At 49.0% G+C, this 18,816-nt stretch overlaps 1 protein-coding gene across 1 annotated transcript in view, besides 1 other annotated feature; it reads left to right on the top strand.

Annotated features, from left to right (window-relative positions):
* Positions 6,153 to 6,202: an enhancer, noted in NCBI's record as "active region_29919". NCBI's record gives its function as "activates an Ori minimal core promoter by ATAC-STARR-seq in GM12878 lymphoblastoid cells {active_cell/tissue: GM12878}" and the evidence as "EXISTENCE:reporter gene assay evidence [ECO:0000049][PMID:35858748]".
* Positions 6,923 to 18,816, top strand: part of XPNPEP2 (X-prolyl aminopeptidase 2) — a 30,558-nt gene continuing 18,664 nt past the window's right edge. The window contains exons 1-8 of the mRNA NM_003399.6: positions 6,923 to 7,206; positions 10,052 to 10,125; positions 11,905 to 12,015; positions 13,147 to 13,210; positions 14,180 to 14,284; positions 14,539 to 14,625; positions 15,551 to 15,697; positions 18,412 to 18,513. Of these exons, the coding sequence (NP_003390.4) occupies positions 7,158 to 7,206; positions 10,052 to 10,125; positions 11,905 to 12,015; positions 13,147 to 13,210; positions 14,180 to 14,284; positions 14,539 to 14,625; positions 15,551 to 15,697; positions 18,412 to 18,513 (739 nt within the window). The 5' untranslated portion in view covers positions 6,923 to 7,157. The remainder of the gene's footprint in view (positions 7,207 to 10,051; positions 10,126 to 11,904; positions 12,016 to 13,146; positions 13,211 to 14,179; positions 14,285 to 14,538; positions 14,626 to 15,550; positions 15,698 to 18,411; positions 18,514 to 18,816) is intronic.

Below are 18,816 nucleotides of genomic sequence, written 5' to 3' on the forward strand. Positions count from 1 at the left end.
CAAATCTGATGCTGAAATGTAATCCCCAGTGTTGGAGATGGGGCCTGGGTGGAGGTGTTTGGGTCACGGGGCAGATCCCTCATGGTTTAGTGCTGTCCTCATGATAGTCAGTGAGTTCTCAAGTGATCAGGTTGTTTAAAAGTGTGTGGCATCTCCTTCTCCACTCTCTCTGTTGCTCCTGCTCCTGCCATGTGAGATGCCTATTCCCTCTTTGCCTTCTGCCATGATTGTAAGTTTCCTGAGGCCCTCCCAGAAGCAGATGCCAGCACTATGCTTTCCTGTACAGCCCACAGAACTGTAAGCCAATCAAACCTCTTTTCACTATAAATTATTCAGTCTCAGGTATTTCTTTATAGCAATCCAAGATTGGCCTAATACAGAAAATTGATGCCAAAGAAGTGCAGCATTGCTATAAAGATACCTGAAAATCTGGAAGGGGCTTTGGAACTGGGTAATGGGCAGAAGTTAGAAGAGTTTGGAGGCCTCCAAAAAAAGATAGGAAGATGAGGGAAAGTTTGGAACTTCTTAGACACTAGTTAAATGGTTGTGACCCAAATGCTGTTTGTGATGTAGACGGTGAAGTCCAGGCTGCTGAGGTCTCAGATGGAAATGAGGAACTTATTGGGAACTGGAACAAAGGTCACCTGTATTATACCTTAGCAAAGAACTTGGCTGTATCACATCCATGACCTAGGGATCTGTGGAGTTTTGAACTTCAGATTGATGATTTAGGGTATCTGGTGGAAGAAATTTCTAAGCAGCAAAACATTCAAGAGGTACTAGGCTGATTCTAACAATCTATGCTCAGGTGTGGGAGTAAAGGAATGACTTAATGTTGGAATTTTTATTTAAATGGGAAGCAGAGTGTAAAAGTTTGGAAAATTTGCACCCTCACTATGTGATAGAAAAGAAAAGCCCAATTTCAGGGGATGAATTCAAGCAGACTGTGGGGTAACCACTTGCTAGAGATATTTGCATAACTAAAAAAGACATTTCAGAGATCTAAGAGGCAGCCCCTCCCATCACAGGCTCTGAGGCCAAGGTGGTTTCATGGTCCAGGCCTAGGGCCCTGCTGCCCTGAGCAGCCTCTGGACACTGCTTCTCGCATCCTGGCCACTCCAGCTCCAGCCTTGGCTGAAAGGTCCCCAGATACAGCTCAGGTTGCTGCTTCAGAAAGTGTAAGCTGTACGCCTTGGCAGCTTCTGTCTGGCATTAAGCCTGTAGGTGTGCAAAGTGCAAGAGTGAAGGAGGCTTGGCAGCCTCTGCCTAGATTTCAGAAGATGTATAGGAAATCTGGGTGCCCAGGCAGAGCCTGCTACAGGGGCAGAGCCCTCATGGAAAACCTCTGCTAGGACAGTGCAGAGGGGAAACGTGGGGTTGGAGCCCCCATGTACAGTCTCCACTGAGGGCACTGCCTAGTGGGGCTGTGGGAAGGGGGCCCCGGTCCTCCAAACCTCAGAATGGTAGATCCACCAACAGCTCGCACCCTGCACCTGGAAAAGCCACAGGCACTCAACAACTGTGAAAGCAGCTACAGGTGCCGAACCCAGAAAAGCTACAGGGGCAGAGCTGCCCAAGGCCTTGGGAGCCCACCCCTTGTGTCAGTGTGGCCTGGATGTGAGACCTGGAGTTGAAGGAGATTATTTTGGAGCTTTGACATTTAAAGACTACCCTGCTGGGTTTCAAACTTGCATGGGGCCTGTAGCCCTTTATTTTGCCCAATTTCTCCCTTTTGGAATGAAAATGTTTACTCAATGCCTATCCCCCCCATAGCATCTTGGAAGTAAATAACTTGTTTTTTATTTTACAGGCTCATAGGTTGAAGGAACTCATTTCCAGATGAGACTTTGGACTTTGGAGTTAATGCTGAAATGAGTTAAGACTTTGGGGGACTATTGAGAAGAGAGGACTATATTTTGCAATGTGAAAAGGACATGACATTTGAGGGACCAAGGTGGAATGACGTGCCCCTGCCAAATCTCATGTTGAATTGTAATCCTCAGTGTTGGAATTGGGGTCTGGGGGGGGATGTTTGAGTCATGGGGGTGGATCTCTCATGGTTTGGTGCTGTCTTTGCATTATCAAGTGAGTTCTCACAAGATCTGGTTGTTAGCCTGACCAACATGGTGAAACCCTATCTCAACTAAAAATACAAAAATTAGCGGGGCATGGTGGCATGCGCCTATAATCCCAGCTACTCAGGAGGCTGAGGCAGGAGAATCGCTTGAACCAGGGAGGCAGAGGTTGCAGTGAGCCAAGATCACGCCATTGCACTCCAGCTTGGGTGACAGAGCGAAACTCCGTCTCAAAAAAAAAAAAAAAGTGTATAGCACCTTCCCTTCACTCTCTCTCTTGCTCCCAGTCCTGCCATATGAGATGCCTGTTCCCTCTTTGCCTTCTTCCATGATTGTAAGCTTCCTAAGGCCTCCCCAAAAGCAGATGCCAGCACTATGCTTCCTGTACAGCCTGAAGAACTGTGAACCAATTAAACCTCTTTTCTTTATAAATTACCCAATCTCAAGTATTTCTTTATAGCAATGCAAAATGGTCTAACACAATCACCAACAGATTTCACAAGAAGAAGGAGGAGCCATGGGCAGCTGTGAGCTGCTGAAAAGGAGCTGACCACTGGATCCACCAACCACAGCGAAGGACGTCCAACCCTCGCCCTGAGGACAGAAACTCCCTTCTCTGATGCCTGGCTGTCTGGGTGAGGTCTTGGGCCTCATAGCACCAAAGATCAAATGCCATGAAATGAGCTCTTTCCCCCTGCTGTGTGACCACACCCTACACACACACACACACACACACACACACACACACACACACACACACAGAGGCAGGGTAGCTTTGTATCAAAGCAGGGCAGATGTGATGGATGAGGCACCCAACAGCACCACAGCAGCCTTCTGGGGCTGGAAAATTGCCCTCCATTCAGAGTATTCCTTTCGGGTTAAGGATGGGGAGGCTAGGCCACACAATGGTGGGGTTTTGCATCAACTCCACAAACTTGTGCTGAGCCCACTCTTTGCTGGGCTCTGTCCTGGATAGGACCTGTTCCAGGTCTAAACATTTATAAAAAGCAAGCTCCTGCCCTTGGGGATGGGTGACCTACGACAGAAGAGTTGTTGAGAAAGAAAAAGGTCAATGTCAGGGTTTGAAAACAGAAGCTCCCATAAAATGTTATGGGAGTCTCCAAGATGAATTTGAGGTGATGAGGGCTTGGTAGACAAGATGAATTTTGAGCTGGACTTTGATGGATGGAGAGAATGTGGACAAGAAGAGATGAATAATGTTAGAGAGGAAGACCTTGGCCACTAAGCTGAAGAGATTGAATTCTGCCCTGAGGGCAGTGGGAGCCATGGAGGATCTTCAGATTGGGGTGACTGTGAGGTCCAAGGGACAGAGCATGGGCTTTTAAGTTCCCCAGACCCAGGTTTGAGTCCCAGCTCTGCCACAGGTCAGCTTGGACCTGGGCAAAGCCACTTTTTTTCTCCAAGCCTGTCTTCTCTTCTGCTTCTGAGAGCCCTGCCTATCTCCCAGCATGAGATGCTGGAACCTGATGGGAGGGTATAACGGGAATTCGGAAGCAGCAATCACATGCTGTGCCCACAAGGCCAAGAGTCCCCAGTCCCTCAGCCTGTGAGGTCACATGAAGAGTTAGATTGGGCATGTGCTAGCTCAAAAGCCTCCTTCCCACCTGCAGAACTGCAGAACCTCAGGTATCATTTCATGATTTCATCCTCAGTAACTTGGGACATCCCCAGGGGATGCTCTGCAGTGCTCATAGCCCCCTTGGGTCTCTGACTTTCCTATTGCCACCGGCTATTCCAGTCCATGGCGCTGTCCACCTGTGCTTCCTCAGGCTGCTTTTCACATTATTGCCGCCAGTCTGCCCCTAGACTGCTGTCCTTCCCTGTGACCACCTCCTGCAATGCCATCTCTGCACCTCTACTGCCAAGATTCACTCCACCTCTCTGATTCCTGGCCTTCCTCCAGGTTCTACCCTTCCCCGGGGCTCCCACAGCAAAGCTGTTTGTATCCCTGGTGCTAGAGTTCCTTGCTTGCTCGTCACTTTATATGCATTTTCTCATTCACACTCATGACATTAGTTGTTATTGTGACCTCAGCTGCGATTCAGGACACCTAGTGGTTGTCACCTGGTGGGAGAACATGTAAGTCAGGAAGGTGTATTCTGATGGAAGTCAAGGAGGCATTGGTGCCCAGAGAGGGCAGGCTCAGGTTGGAAGCCTGGGGTGGCATGAGGGTGCAAAATAAGAGGCACAGACAGGAGGTACTCTAGAGAAGATCACCTCTGATTTCAGAATTTGGCCTTTAGGCTAGCTTTGGACCAAAAAGTAAAACAAGCAGAAGTCCACTGCCTGAGTAGGCCAGAGCGAGACTCCAGTGATGCATGCATCTTCCAAACAACTTTGATGCAAAGACTCGGCCATTCAACCCTCCCCACGTTGAATCATTTCTTTCCACTTCAAGCCTGTTGCCAACTTGGGTTGAAGTCTCTCAACTGATAAGAGTAAAGACAGTGGTTTCGAGATAGGGAGATAAGGAAGGAGCTGATGAAGGCAAGTGAAGTTATCTTTGCCACCAGGGCTAAGGCTGGGACCCAGAGGTATGAAACCAGAGGGCTGAGTATTATGTGGGGACCATCCCTGGGCAGAGTCCGGAAGATGGGGGTGGAATCCCCGTTTAGTTTGTTTGCTTCGGGGGTTGGCCCTTCAGCTCAGCTGATCTTTGCTCTAACAACTGCTATTTCAGCAGTGCTGGATGCCAGGGAGAGAAAGAACAAAGTACAGATGAGACTGGCTTTATTTAGTTCTAGTATGTGAATTAACAAACATTTGTAGAACATTTACTCTTGTCTCTGCGAGGCATGTTCTGAGAGCATCACCAACATTAGCCCATTGAATCCTCATAACAACCCTAAGAAGCTAGTACTATTATTATGCCAACTCACAGGTGAGGACACTGGGGACTCAGGGAGATAAAGTCACTTGCCCAAGATCACACAGCTAGTGGGTGCCAGAGCTGGGATTGAAACTCAGGCTGATTGGCTCCCAAGTCAGTGTTTCAAGGCTCAGTTCACTGACAGAAAGACAGGACCATGTTTGTCCTCAAAGGCTATCTTCAGGGGTCTTCCCCTGCAAAATCCCATCAGCTCTACCTGCTTGCTTGCCCTTCAGGATGGCTACTGCAGCAAACAGAGGAGGCAGGAGTCTTTGAGGGGGCATTTTCCAGTGCTCTGGTCTCTGGGAATAATTTCATTACCAGTCCTGGAAGGGGTGGGAGAGAGGAGCCTGGGGAAAAGGCTGCGGGAGCTTCAGCAGTTATTGAATGACAGCATTCTCATGTTCTCCTTGTCCCTGGTCTGTCCTCTGAGGCTGTGGGCTCCTGCCCTCTGCTTTTATTCCTGAGAATGAAGTTCACTGGGCCACCTCACTCATTTTGACTCTGCCCCTTCAGAGACTCCCATGAAGGTCCGTTTTCCCTCTTCAAAATGGCCTATTTTGTCATTCTTGAATGGATGGTTGAAAGTTGCTTTACACTTGATGTGGACATAAGCAGACTGTAAATCCATTAAAAATAGAAACAAAAGGAATGGTGGCCAGGCATGGTGACACGCACCTGTGGTCTCAGCTACTCAGAAGGCTGAGGCTGGAGAATCACTTGAGCCCGGGAGGCTGAGGTTGCAGTGAACCGAGAACATGCCACTGCACTCCACCCTGGGCAACAGAATAAGACCCTGTTTCAAAAATAAAAATAGAAACAAAAGGAATGGGCAGTTTGCCTCTGGGGCCCTCCAGGCTAGGTGAGCATCCATCCCCATTGGGTCTGTTTGTCTCTCTAAAGCATTCCTCTCTGGGAAATCACCTTCCTCGAACCCAAAGAGCAAGGGTTCTGTAGAGCATTTACTAGGAGCTGCCTTGAAGCTGCCCTCTGATTCAGCTGGGCGTGAAGACAAGGCAGGCCTCAGCTTCTCCATTTCCCTCATTGGGAGTTGTGTTGTTTACGAGTGACTCACACTTCAGGGTAACCAAATCCCTGTTCTAGAAGCTACAGCAGAAACAGCATTTCCAGTTCACCAAATTAGTCTTCTCAGAGCGCCCAAACTCCCCTTTCTGTGTCTTCTTCCCTATTCAGTGGCATCCCCCAAACCCTCCAGATAGGGGCATCTTTGGGCTTTCATTTCCTCCCAGGTGTGAGTGGCTCTAACAGCCTCGGTTCCCCAGAGTGCAGGTTCAGAAAATGCAGGGGAATGGGACTCCCCAGATCCCAAGGGAAGAGCTGGCATCACTTCTTCAGAGTGGGCACTCCTGGGGGGACTCATCCCAGCTCAAGAAAGTAACTCTCCAGTCACAACCAACTTTCCCAAGGGGTACAGTGGGACTTGCCAAGCACTACAAGAAGAGAGGACACTGGCTTTTCCAGTCAGCTTGGAGGAAGAGAGGGAGGAAAAAAGGAGGGGGAGGAAGAGCAAAAAGGAGGAGGAGGAGGAAATGGACAAGGAGGAAAAAAAAAAAAAGGAGGAGGATGAGGAGGGAAAAGGAGGAAGAAGAAGAGGAAGTGGAGGAGCCCAGAAAAGGAGGGGAAGGAGGAAAAAGGAGGAGGAGAAGGAAAACGAGGAGGAAGAAGAGGTGGGGAGGAAAAGGAGCAGCAGCAGGAGGCAAATCTCCATCCCCACAGCAAAAGCAGTGCTGGAGCCAGAGCCCAGAGTGTGGGAGCTAATGGGAATCAGCTTGCTGGAGGGAAGGGGACCGAATTAAGGAATGGCTGGGGCTCTGCCGCTGAGAGGGGGCTGGGAAAAGCAGGCTGATTGAGACCAGCTGTTGTGCCTCTGTCTCTGAGATCTTTGGACTCTGCCCAGGATAGCCTCACACCCTATCCTACACGACTAGGAACTTGCACAGTCCGCCTCGGGCAGCCCAAAGCTCCTCTGCCCACCCTGGCTCCCAGAGCCCTCCAAAACAAAAGACCAGAGAAGCACTCTCCACCCAGCAGCCAGACGCCTCCTTCTTGACGCCAGCCCCCACCCTCTGTCTGCTCGAGCCCAGGAAAGGCCTGAAGGAAGAGGCCGGGGAAAGAGCCCTCCCTCTCTCCCTTGTCCCTCCATCCACCCAGCGCCGGCATCTGGAGACCCTATGGCCCGGGCTCACTGGGGCTGCTGCCCCTGGCTGGTCCTCCTCTGTGGTATGTGCATCCTAGCTTCCACTGGAAGGCAGCTCTGACCTCTCCCCTCTGAGCTCAGAAAGGGTTGGAGTGAGGGTTGGGGCCCGAGTCTCTTTTTCTGTTGCTTCCTCTCTCTGACTTGAGGAAGAGACACCTCAGGGCCAGTGTTGGGGGCCCTCATAACTTGGATCGAGTCTGGTTTGGCACCTTTCCATTCCCCCCGTTATAGAAAAAAAATATTCTGACACTCGTTAAAACGGTAAGGAAAACTTAATTTAAGACTACCGCATTGCAATAGAGGAGAGAAATGGGGCTCAACTCTGATTACAGAAAAGACTTCCAGGGATCTGTAGCCAAGGAGCAGAGTGAGGGGGTCAGTGGATGGAAAAGTATTAAGAGGAGATAGCAAGGGTAGGGGGATTCTTGCTAAACCGACTGAACAGCATTCTTGCTGACGGCAGGCCAGAGTGATCAGATATCAAGGGTGTCTAAACTGACTTAGCAAGATTCTTGCTAAGACTGGGTGATGCAAGCCTGGCAAGGGCAGGACAGACACAGAAGGCCAAGGTCAAGGCCAAGTGGAGAAGAGGCTTTGGGGGAGCCTAACTAAACTTTGGTCAGGAAGAGAGTCTTTCCTCTTTGTCATTCCTGCGGCACCCTCTCTGTCCTCAACTAGGTGCCCAGCCCAGCGCTCCCACCCTAGCCTTCCTTTCTTTGTTGTCTGTCAGCAGGGCCTGATCAGTCACTCAATGTCCAGTTCCTGAGCACCTACCCAGTGCCAGGCCTTGTGCCAGGGACCACAGAGTCATTCAGCTGCAGAGCCTGCTCTTGGGAGCCACAGCCCTGGCCTCAGAGAACAGCATATTCTGGTGTCCAGAGAGACATAAGTTGGCTGTGTCCTCATTCTTATGTTAGCATATCAGTGCCAACATTTTGCCAGGGATCTGTTTCTACAGAAATGGGTGTTTGTTTTCTTAAATGAACAGTATGGGTCGCATCTGATCCTTGAGTTTATGAGACCAAGATAAAATCACACAGGACGTTCATGGTGTTGAACCCCAGCCACCCTCCTTGCATCTGTAGCTCAGCCCACTCGAAAGTGTGGCTGGGCGTGGTGGCTCATGCCTGTAATCCCAGCTCTTTGGGAGGCCATGGCAGGCGGATCACTTGAGGTCAGGAGTTCGAGACCAGCCTGGCCAACATGGTGAAACACTGTCTCTATTAAAATTACAAAAATTAGCCAGGCATGGTGGCGCACGCTTGTAATCCCAGTTCCTCAGGGGGGGCTGAGGCAGGAGAATCGCTTGAACTCAGGAGGCAGAGATTGCAGTGAGCCAAGATTGTGCCACTGCACTCCAGCCTGGGCAAAAGAAGGAGACTCCATCTCAAAAAAAAAAAAAATGCGGGCGCGGGGGGCGTTGGGCGCAGTGGCTCACGCCTGTGATCCCAACACTTTGGGAGGCCGGGGCGGGTGGATCACCTGAGGTCAGGAGTTCGAGACCAGCCTGGCCAATATAGTGAAACCCCCATCTCTACTAAAAATACAAAAATTAGCTGGGTGTGGTGGGTGCATGCCTGTAGTCCCAGCTACTTGGGAGGCTGAGGCAGGAGAATCGCTTGAACCCGGGAGGCGGAGGTTGCAGTGAGCTGAGATCGCCCCACTGCACTCCAGCCTGGGTGACAGAGAGACTCTGTCTCAAAAAAAAAAAAAAGGAGGGGGGGCGGGGGAGTGTAATGTCTCCCCACACTCAGGGCCCCATTACCATCTAGGGAAATCCCTCCCTAAAAGACAGGGGGGTTAGAGGCAAGGACTATCAGAGACCGCTTTGTCTAATTCAAGCCCCTCCTTTCCAGAGGTCCAGAGCCTGGAGAACTTAGTCCAGTGCCTGGCACACAGTAGGCGCTTAGGAGATGGTTGCTCAATGAATATTGGGGGGGGGTCACTCTCGAGTCACTCTAAATTGGGGGCAGAGCCCAAACTAGAAACTAGATCTCCATATATTCTGTCCCTTCTGTGGCATCACCTTTTTCAGGCCCACCTCTCATACTTGGCAGAGTGGGAGGACTGAAAGTGCGCTCACCTCTTTTGTATTAAGATGGCCTGGGTTCAAATCCCTGTTCTACCACTGACTCCTGGTGGCACAAGTTAGACAAGTTACCAAATCTATCTGGGCCTTGACTTCCTCCTCTGCAGAAAGTGAACAATAATTTCCACCTCATAGTGATGTCACAAATATCAAATGAGATACTGTAGATGAATTGCTGCGTTCAGTATCTGGCACATAATAGGGTGTCTTTAAATACTAATTAATCCATCTTTCCCCACCATGGCAGACTAGGATTTCTGTCTAATATATTGAAAATGAGCCTGGAATGATAGGCAAAGATTTGGACTGTAAGAAACAGTGCAAGCAGGCCTTGAATTGAAGTCAACCCAATGTATCATACAATTAGATTTATAAAAGGCTAAAATGAAGGTGGGGTGATTATTTAGCGTGATCTTCTAGAGCATTTCAAAGAAAATTTGATAACAAAAATTTAATTTACACACAACTTTTCTACTTCACTAAACCCTGAAAAGACCCAATTAGATTAGAAGAAAAATTGATTTAATGAGCACTAAAACCCATCCAAAAGTGGCAATCACTTGTCTATGAAACAGATTTCTTTGATTGTGACCCAGGGTGCTATCCAGTTCAGCCTGATTTCCTATGAAATGTGATTATTTTTATCCTCAAGTAGAGCTGGCCAGCTTCGTGCGTTTCAAAGGATGGAGGCCCCGTGGGGCGGGCTGAGAGGATACTCCTTCCCTCTCTAGGAACTAGCTGGTCCCCAAATGACCCTGGATTTTTCTCCCGGCTTCTAGCTTGTGCCTGGGGCCACACAAAGCCAGTGGACCTTGGAGGGCAGGATGTGAGAAACTGTTCCACCAACCCCCCTGTGAGTGCCCCCTGCCCCCCGCGCACGGCCCCCCTGGCCCCACGCACCCCCCCACCCCTGCCCCACGCACCCCTGCACCGCAGCACCCCCGCCCTGCTCTATCATCTTCTCTATCCCTCATTGGGTCAGTTGGTAGCCCCTCCTCCTACCAGGCTTTCTCCTGATTTCCGGACTCTTGGGCCCCTCCCCCCTCCACTCCCTCCCCTCCACATCAGTGCCCTCCCCTCCCTCCCATTCATTCCCCCAGCAGGTTATCTGCTTCCGTCCTGATCTGGGCCTGGGAAACCCCTCTAGGAGGAGGGAGGAGGGCAGGAGGCCCCTAACTGGCCTTTGGCTGAGGCCAGGCAGAGGAAAGAAAAGACAAATTCTAGAGTGACAGCAAAAAGAGAAGCACAGAAGGGAAGAGGGAGGAAGACAGAGGTTAGAAGAGCCAACGGAGGCCGAGCACGGTGGCTGACGCCTGTAATCCCAGCACTTTGGGAGACCGAGCCAGGTGGATCACCTGAGGTCAGGAGTTCGAGACCAGCCTGGGCAACATGGTGAAACCCCGTCTCTACTAAAAATAAAAAAATTAGCCAGGCATGGTGGCGGGTGCCTGTAATCCCCGCTACTCAGGAGGCTAAGGCAGAAGAATTGCTTGAACCCAGGAAGCAGAGGTTGCAGTGAGCCAAGATTGTGCCACTGCACTCCAGTCTGGGCGACAGAGCAAGACTCTGTCTCAAAAACAAAACAAAACAAAACCAAAACCAAAGAAGAGCCAACGGAAGGGCAAGAGAGGGAGGCCTAGGGTGTGCAGACGAGGAAAAGGCCCAGCAGAAGGGGCTTGGGTAGTCAGCTTCCTAGCTGGAGACCAGAGTGATTCTTTCTACAATCAGAGTAGGGCTAAGGGGTAGGCATGCCAGCAGCACTGTAAGCCATGGGAAAAACGCAGTACATCTGCTAGCAATATCAACTTTATGGGACCCCTGGGGCAGGCAGGTGGGTGGGCAAACCACATTACTTTTATATTAAAACAAACATGGATATATCGTGGAGTAGAAAGCAAAACAGCACAAACGGAAACATGCTTTTCGTTTTAAAGCTAAAATGACCTGTAAAGAAATAGAGAACTGGTCTGGAAAGGGTCTTTCTGGGCAATATCTCAAACTGCTGGGGGCATTCATTCACTCTCCTCTGCCATTTGGGACCAGTGGGTGGCAACCTGAAAAAGCCCTGCCAAGGGAAGGTTGCCAGATAAAATACAGGACACCCAGTTACATTTGAATTTTAGATAACAAATAAGAATTTAGTGCAAGTATGCCCCAAATTGTGCATGTTTTAATATAATACTTACATTAAAACATTACACATTGTTTATTTGAAATGCAAACATAACTAGGTGAGTGTCCTGTATTTTTATTTGCTAATCTGGCAACCCTACCCCCAGGTAGCCAAAGAAGGACTGTCTGCATGGCCTGGCCCAATGCCAGAGCTCAGACCCCTGCAGTTCTCACCCACACCCATATCCCAGACTCAGGTCCCATTACTGTCACAAGGGGTCCCTTTCCAAACTCTCCAACACCTCCATCTCCACCCAGCCCAGGCATCTTAATCTAGACTAAGCAGTAACATCAGTTGCCACCCCATCCCTTCCCAAGCCAGGCCAGCCTAACTTCCCCCAACCGCTGCTTCAGGAGAGGCTGGGGGCTCTTCTGGAGGCCAGGGGCCCAGATGTCATTTTCTCTAAGCAACGTGTGTATCTGTTTGTTTGTGTCTCAATGTCTTCTTGTCATCTGTCAGTACCTTCCAGTTACTGTGGTCAATACCACAATGTCACTCACAGCCCTCCGCCAGCAGATGCAGACCCAGAATCTCTCAGCCTACATCATCCCAGGCACAGATGCTCACATGGTAAGAGACAGCTTCTCTCCCCCTTGCCCTCTCTGCTACCCTGGGTCAGAGACCACAAACAGGAGCTGTTAAAACTCAGAAGATGAAGACAGAGAAAGGATCTGATGGGCAAAGGGAGGGAAGTAGAGAGCATGGACACGGTAGTTTTAGGGCAAGTGAAAGAATGTATCCCTCTACATAGGCGGGCAGACATTGCCAAACCTCCTTAACCTCAAGAAATTAAACTATAAACAACTTCAGAATCAATTTTCATCAATTCCCAGAAGGCAGATCCAGAATGAATGTTTAGGGTATCCCTGCCCTAGGAGGTTAGAAGGTGGGCTGGAAATTGGGCTGGAAGAACTCCAAGCTCCCTTCTGGCCCAGGCCTTCCCATACTCTGTGGAATGGAGTAGCAAAATAATCCAAAATCCTGGGTTAAGGGAGCGCGGGGTTGGTTGTGGAGGGGGGCACCCATCCCACCGTTTCCCCTCACTAGCTCCACCCTCCACACCATCCACCTTTCCAACACCAGCCCATTTGGAAGAGAGGGCATTTTTAGTGTCAATGAGCTTGTTTAAATTAATTTTCCCACATGCTGGGAAGGGCTAAGAACGTTGGGTAAGTATCTGAACTTCCCTGAGCCTCAGTTTCCTCTTCTGCAAAGAGAAATGGGTCTGTAATGAGATCTATCTCCAAGGATTATGAGGATCAAAATATGATAATGTGTAAAGCCCTTTGCAGAAGTTATGATGTTCCCAGTCTACTGTGCTTGACTCAGGAGGGAGAAGGATTAGCTGGAGGGGAAAACCCAAACGAGCCAAAAGACAGGACCCTAGACTGCATAGAATTTGCAGGGCAGGGCAACAAGTCTCCTTTGCAGAACAGTCCAGTGTTACACTGAGTCCAGTGTGAACAGTGTGGGGGCGGGGGAGTTGAACTGCAAAAGATACGGTTGCTCAAAGGAAGGGAAGATATTGAAGGCTGGGAGAGTTACAGAGGGCTTCCTGGAAGAGGCACTTGGTGTGCTTGGGCTTGTAGCTGACAAGGGGTTGGAGCCGACAGACAGAAATAACTGGGATGTGGTTGGGGGCCTTTCATGTGGGATCTGATACCACGAAAAAGGCTAATGATGGTGTTGTTGATTTCCTAGAACGAGTACATCGGCCAACATGACGAGAGGCGTGCGTGGATTACAGGCTTTACAGGGTCTGCAGGTGACAATCATTACCCAGCCCCATTGCTTTTGTTGGTAGATCCAGAGGTGGTCACAGAGGACCTAATGTGGCTAGTGTCTCAGCATCTGGGACCCCAGAACCTACTGTAGAGAAAACCCTTCTACTCTCTCTGTCTCCCTCCACCACCCCAAAACCATCAGATTCCCCAGGGCACATATCTCATAGCCCACCAGCCACTTTCTGTGTAGAAATGAGGCAGAGGCTGCCTTCCTGTGCTCATTACCTCTGCTGCAACCAGGCCCAGTCCAGCACTCCCAGGCTCCGTTTCTAAATAGTTGCTACTTCTACCTCTAACCGCTAAGAACCCGCTGATTCCTTTCACATGAGGGCTCATTTGGAGACAAAGTTTTCCTTTGCCGGTTGTTTTACGGACAACATCACTTCACATGGCCAAATGAGACACAAACATATAAGCCCTTGATGAGATCACAGTGTCTGAAGGGGCCTCGCACCGTGATCCTGGCCCATTGAATGAAATCCAAGCTTCCTTTCCTGATCCTCAAACATTCCTCCTTGGGCTTCAAACTACCCTGCCTCGTGCCTCGTAGGCTCTTTTTCCCTTTGCCAAAGTCTCTGGATTATTCTTGCCCAGCAGTCCTCAGCTGAGCCTCTGGTTTAGCCTCCCTATCAGCCACCGAGTCTTTACGCTGAGCCCCATCTTTCCTGAGAGCGCCTACATGCAGCCAAAAGTTGACCTCACTTCTGCTGAAAGTCCACAAGCAGCCCTCAACACAAAGCAGAGGTGCCTGATTCAGGACACCTTTCTGCCAGCTCCCCCCACAGCTCTTTTTAAGATCTCCTTCCTCACTTCTTTCCAATGGAGGAGAGAATCTCTTTCCAGAGGCCCCTTGTGGCATTCTCAGAGCCAGCACTGCATTGCACATCCATCAGCTAATGCCACGTTCCTCCCCTTCACCCTCACCTGCAAGTTTCTCTGTTCTGCCCCAGGAACTGCAGTGGTGACTATGAAGAAAGCAGCTGTCTGGACCGACAGTCGCTACTGGACTCAGGCTGAGCGGCAGATGGACTGCAACTGGGAGCTCCATAAGGAAGGTAGAAGGGCCGCATGGATTTGTTCCCCAAGTCTTGGGACCTGGACTAGGTTCAGGAAGGTATAGGTGAGAGCGTGCATGTAAGACCATGCTGGGCCTCTATGGGGAGCTTAGGAAATTTGAGGCCATCACTGACTTTCAAGGCTGATCTCAAGGAAGACACACATGGTAGGACCATCAGACAGAACCCCTGGCTGGAGAGCCTGGGGCTGGCCCTGAAGGTGACCTCTGCATTGCTTCCTATCTTTCTTTCAGTTGGCACCACTCCTATTGTCACCTGGCTCCTCACCGAGATTCCTGCTGGAGGGCGTGTGGGTTTTGACCCCTTCCTCTTGTCCATTGGTATGCTCTTCCTTCAGTCCCTGAATTTGTCCATGCTAACGAGGGTGACTCAGCTTCCCTAGGATATAAAGAAATGGACCTTGGTAGAAGGAGGGGCGGTGGGACTATAAAGATAGAGCATTTGAAATTGTAGTTGCAGAATGTTTTGCAATGAGGATGTATTCATGGATTGTGTAATTAAAATACATTTAAAAGAATCAGTACAAATATTTTAAAATTCATGAGTGCAGAGACCCAACCTAGAAGACTCAGTGAATCATTAAAGAGCTAGTGGATGAATAGGCCAGGATGTGCTTGAACCCAGAACCATCCTCTGTGCCCTGGAACCCTGCCAATGATGATGCTGGAATCACATGGTAACCCTCTTCTGGAAGGTAGCTTAGAAGGGTCAAAAGAGTTGGGAGGGCTTCTGAGTTTAAAAAAAAAAGGGCCCCTGAGAATACAACTCCCGGAGTTCTGGGGCCTCAGACAGCTGGCAAGCCCATTCCCCCAAAGGGGAGTCCTCATGAATATGTACTGAAAGGCTTGTGCTTTAGAACTGGCTTCTCTGCCAGCCTGTCCAATGGCCTGAACATCACCATTCCTTTTGACTGTGACACTGAAGCCCTGATAAAATAATTAGTGCCCAAGAGAAGGACCACCCACAGCCACTGGCAATGAAAAAGACAAGCTTAGCCAATTTGTGGCAGTCAGTGTTAGAGTAGGCTCAGGGCATTAGGCTTGGAAAGCAGAAAGAGGATGAGAAACATACCCCAGCGTGGGCATACATGCCGGGGGTGGGGGGTGGGCAGGCTGCTGGGGCAGGCTCCGGGCAGCTGGGCTGCAAAGGGAGGCAAAGGGAACCAGGACTAACTTTGCCTGAATCACAATTTTTTCCTGGGGTGTAAATGGGCAAGGGACAAGTGACTCCTTCTTGTCTCTGCAGACACCTGGGAGAGTTATGATCTGGCCCTCCAAGGCTCTAACAGACAGCTGGTGTCCATCACAACCAATCTTGTGGACCTGGTATGGGGATCAGAGAGGCCACCGGTTCCAAATCAACCCATTTATGCCCTGCAGGAGGCATTCACAGGTGATTCAGTAAGCCCAGTTTCCTTCCCAACTTGTAGCAACGCAGGTCCCGGCTGCTATTCCGTAGGTGGCAAACTTCATCATCAGAGGTACCAAAGCAGTGGTTTGCAAACCTTAGCATGCACCTGAGTCACCTGGGATGCTTGTTTAAAATGCAGATTTCAGGGCCCCCTCCCCTTGAGGAGTCTGAATCAAAATGTCCTCCGGCCATATTTAGAAAATGTTGGGTTAAAGAATGTTAGGATTTGAAACAAGATGGAGCAGGAAGGGAGGAAAGAAGGGAAACAGAGAAAGATGAGAGAAAATATCCAACCCCTTTCAAGAGAGAAAAAATCATGATATGATTTGCTTGCCTGGTGGCAGAGACTGATCCATAATGAATCATTCAGACCTTTACTTCTGACCCTCTTGTGATGAAGAATTTAGATTTGTGAGATGGCTGGGGTCAGGTGGGCCAGGAGTGGACAGAGGAAGTAAATAACTAAGTTCAGAGTCATTCTGTAGCACAGATTACAGTTCAGGTTTTGCTGGACCAATCAGGAAGGTTAGAAAAATATAACATCAATAACCTTGACCCCGTTGACACTATCTAAATCCATCACAAAAGAACAGTATGTTGTAAGATTCCTGTAAGTCGTAACTAAAGTCCTGACCAGGACCAGCCTACTGATTATGAATCAGTGTCTTGGCCACCAACCAGTCCTATCTCCCTGGGAATTCTGAATGAGCCAATGAACTTGGATTCCTAGTAACATTGATCAAGCCAAGAGATCCCTTTCCGCATGCAAGTCCACATAATTTCTCACTTAGAAAGGAGCCAATACAGCAGGAGGGAGATTTCAAAATAGCAGCCATGACGAAACAAGTGAAAATTGTGTCCATTTTTCTTTATCTGTTCTGATGTAACTTCCAGAATCATTCTTTCTGCATCTTGACACCATTTTTAAAGAAATTTGTTATCCAAGACTGTTAAATCATAAATAAAACTCATCTTATTCAGATAAAGAAAGTCAAAGTTATGTCGGGAAGGGGAAGGGAAAAAAGAAAAACCTTCCTGGGGCTGGAAGGGTTTTGTCACTTCCCAAAAGTGAGGGGATGCCGAGTCATCACCCGCTGCCAGTCTTCAAGAAAAAGGCACCTGGAGCTTGAGTTTGGAAGCCGAAGAACAGAGTTCAGCTTCAATAAGCTTATAAAGACGAGAGAGACTTTCCAGCCACTTGCAGATTTTAAAGGAGAAAGGAGAGTGCAAAGGGCAGAACATGAAAAGTTCGCTACTCAAACATACCTGTACGCACCAGACCATTGAAATTTGGGTTCATTTGGTTTCTCAGAAAGGTATCATATTCCTGAACCTTGAAAACATAATTGCAAGTGAAAGAAGCCAGTCAGAGAAGGCCACATATTGTACAATTCCATTTGTATGAAATATCCAGCACTGGCAAATCCATAGAGACAGAAAATAGATTAGGGATTTCCTGGGGCTCAGGGGAGGGGGGATAGGGAGTGACTCCTTAGTGAGTACAGGGTTTCCTTTGGGGATGAAGAAAATGTTCTAGAATTAGATCGTGGCGATGGTTGCACAACATTGTGAGTATGCTGAAAGCCACTGAATTGTGCACTTTAAAAAGATTAAAATGATATGTTTTATGTTATGTGTAAAATACACATAACATAAATTATGTGTAAAATATGTAGTAAAATAAACCTACAAAAATGTATTGTACCCAAAGCTTTGGTCATTGTTGAATAGTTTTACCTGTTCACATGAAATATTTTTCACGACATTAAGTTATTTATGCTCATATCTGAACCCAACTAGGACCCTTAATGTTTATGGCCTTCGGCCAGCAAACTCCTAGTCCTGCCTAGGGGTAGACTCTTTGAATATCTTGCAGGGGGCAGGGATAGAAGATGAAAACTAAAGTCATAGAACCCAGATATAAGCATCTGAGAAAGGACGGTGCTGTGACACAGAGTTTAAGGACAGATTTGGAGACTGAGAATGTTATCAAGACAGTACGGTGTCTGTACAGATTAAGAGCGTGGGCCATGCAGTCAGACAGACCAGAGTTCAAATCCCAGCTCTACCTCTTGCATCCATGAAACCCTAGACAAGTCACTTTACCTCTCTGAAGCCTCAGTTTCCTTATCTGTAAAATGGGATGGGTAAGAATTAGAACAATGCACATGGAGTGCTTAGCCCAGTACCCGTGGCTTAGTAAATACTGGGGTTACTGCAGAGAAAGTTGAACACGGCCCCAGCCCTACCCCTTTGTCCTTCAACTAGGACTGCTCTCTTGATCTCAGTCTGCATGATTATTTATTAATCAGAAAGATACAAGAGTTACTACATCTCAAGATACCATTCTGTGTGCTTTACAAATATTAATTCATTCCATCCTCATAGCAGCCCTATTGAGGCAGATGCTTATTATACTCCATCCCCATTTTACAAATGTGCAAAATGGAACACAGAGGGGTTAGGTAATTTGCCCAAGGTCACCCATCCAGTAATGGCAAAGCCAGGATTTGAGCCCCATCTGGGTCCAGGGCCCATGTCATTAATGAGTACACAAGTAAGAGTTTGTTTGAGGAAAGGGTTTCGCTGCTTTTTAAGAGGATGCAAAACTGTTACCCTAAGGCTGACCTTCCAGGAACCGAGTGCCAAAGGCAAGGTCTGTCACTTACACTTTTTTGGGGCTCCTTTGCTTCTAGGGAGCACTTGGCAGGAGAAAGTATCTGGCGTCCGAAGCCAGATGCAGAAGCATCAAAAGGTCCCGACTGCCGTCCTTCTGTCGGCGCTTGAGGAGACGGCCTGTGAGTGTGGATTTGCAGACATGGGTGGGCGCCTGGGTCTCCCCAATGCCCCAAGCCTCCCGGGCCCTGCAGCACAGAGCTAGCTCTTCCCCAAATAACCATGTGCCCACCAATTCTTGAGAACTCCATGGCCACAGCCCGTGGGAACCAAGAAGGGTAAGGGGGCAGGAGCTCATGGCTTCAGAAAAAGGACAAAAGGTAGCCCTGAGCAAGCTGGGACCAGCCCACAGGCCACCAGAGGAACGAACTGACTATGGCAGCAAAGTGCTTCTGTCCCACTAAGGGGAGGAGGACCAGGAAATG

This window comes from Homo sapiens, chromosome X, assembly GCF_000001405.40.
Source record: "Homo sapiens chromosome X, GRCh38.p14 Primary Assembly".
Taxonomy (NCBI): Eukaryota; Metazoa; Chordata; class Mammalia; order Primates; family Hominidae; genus Homo; species Homo sapiens.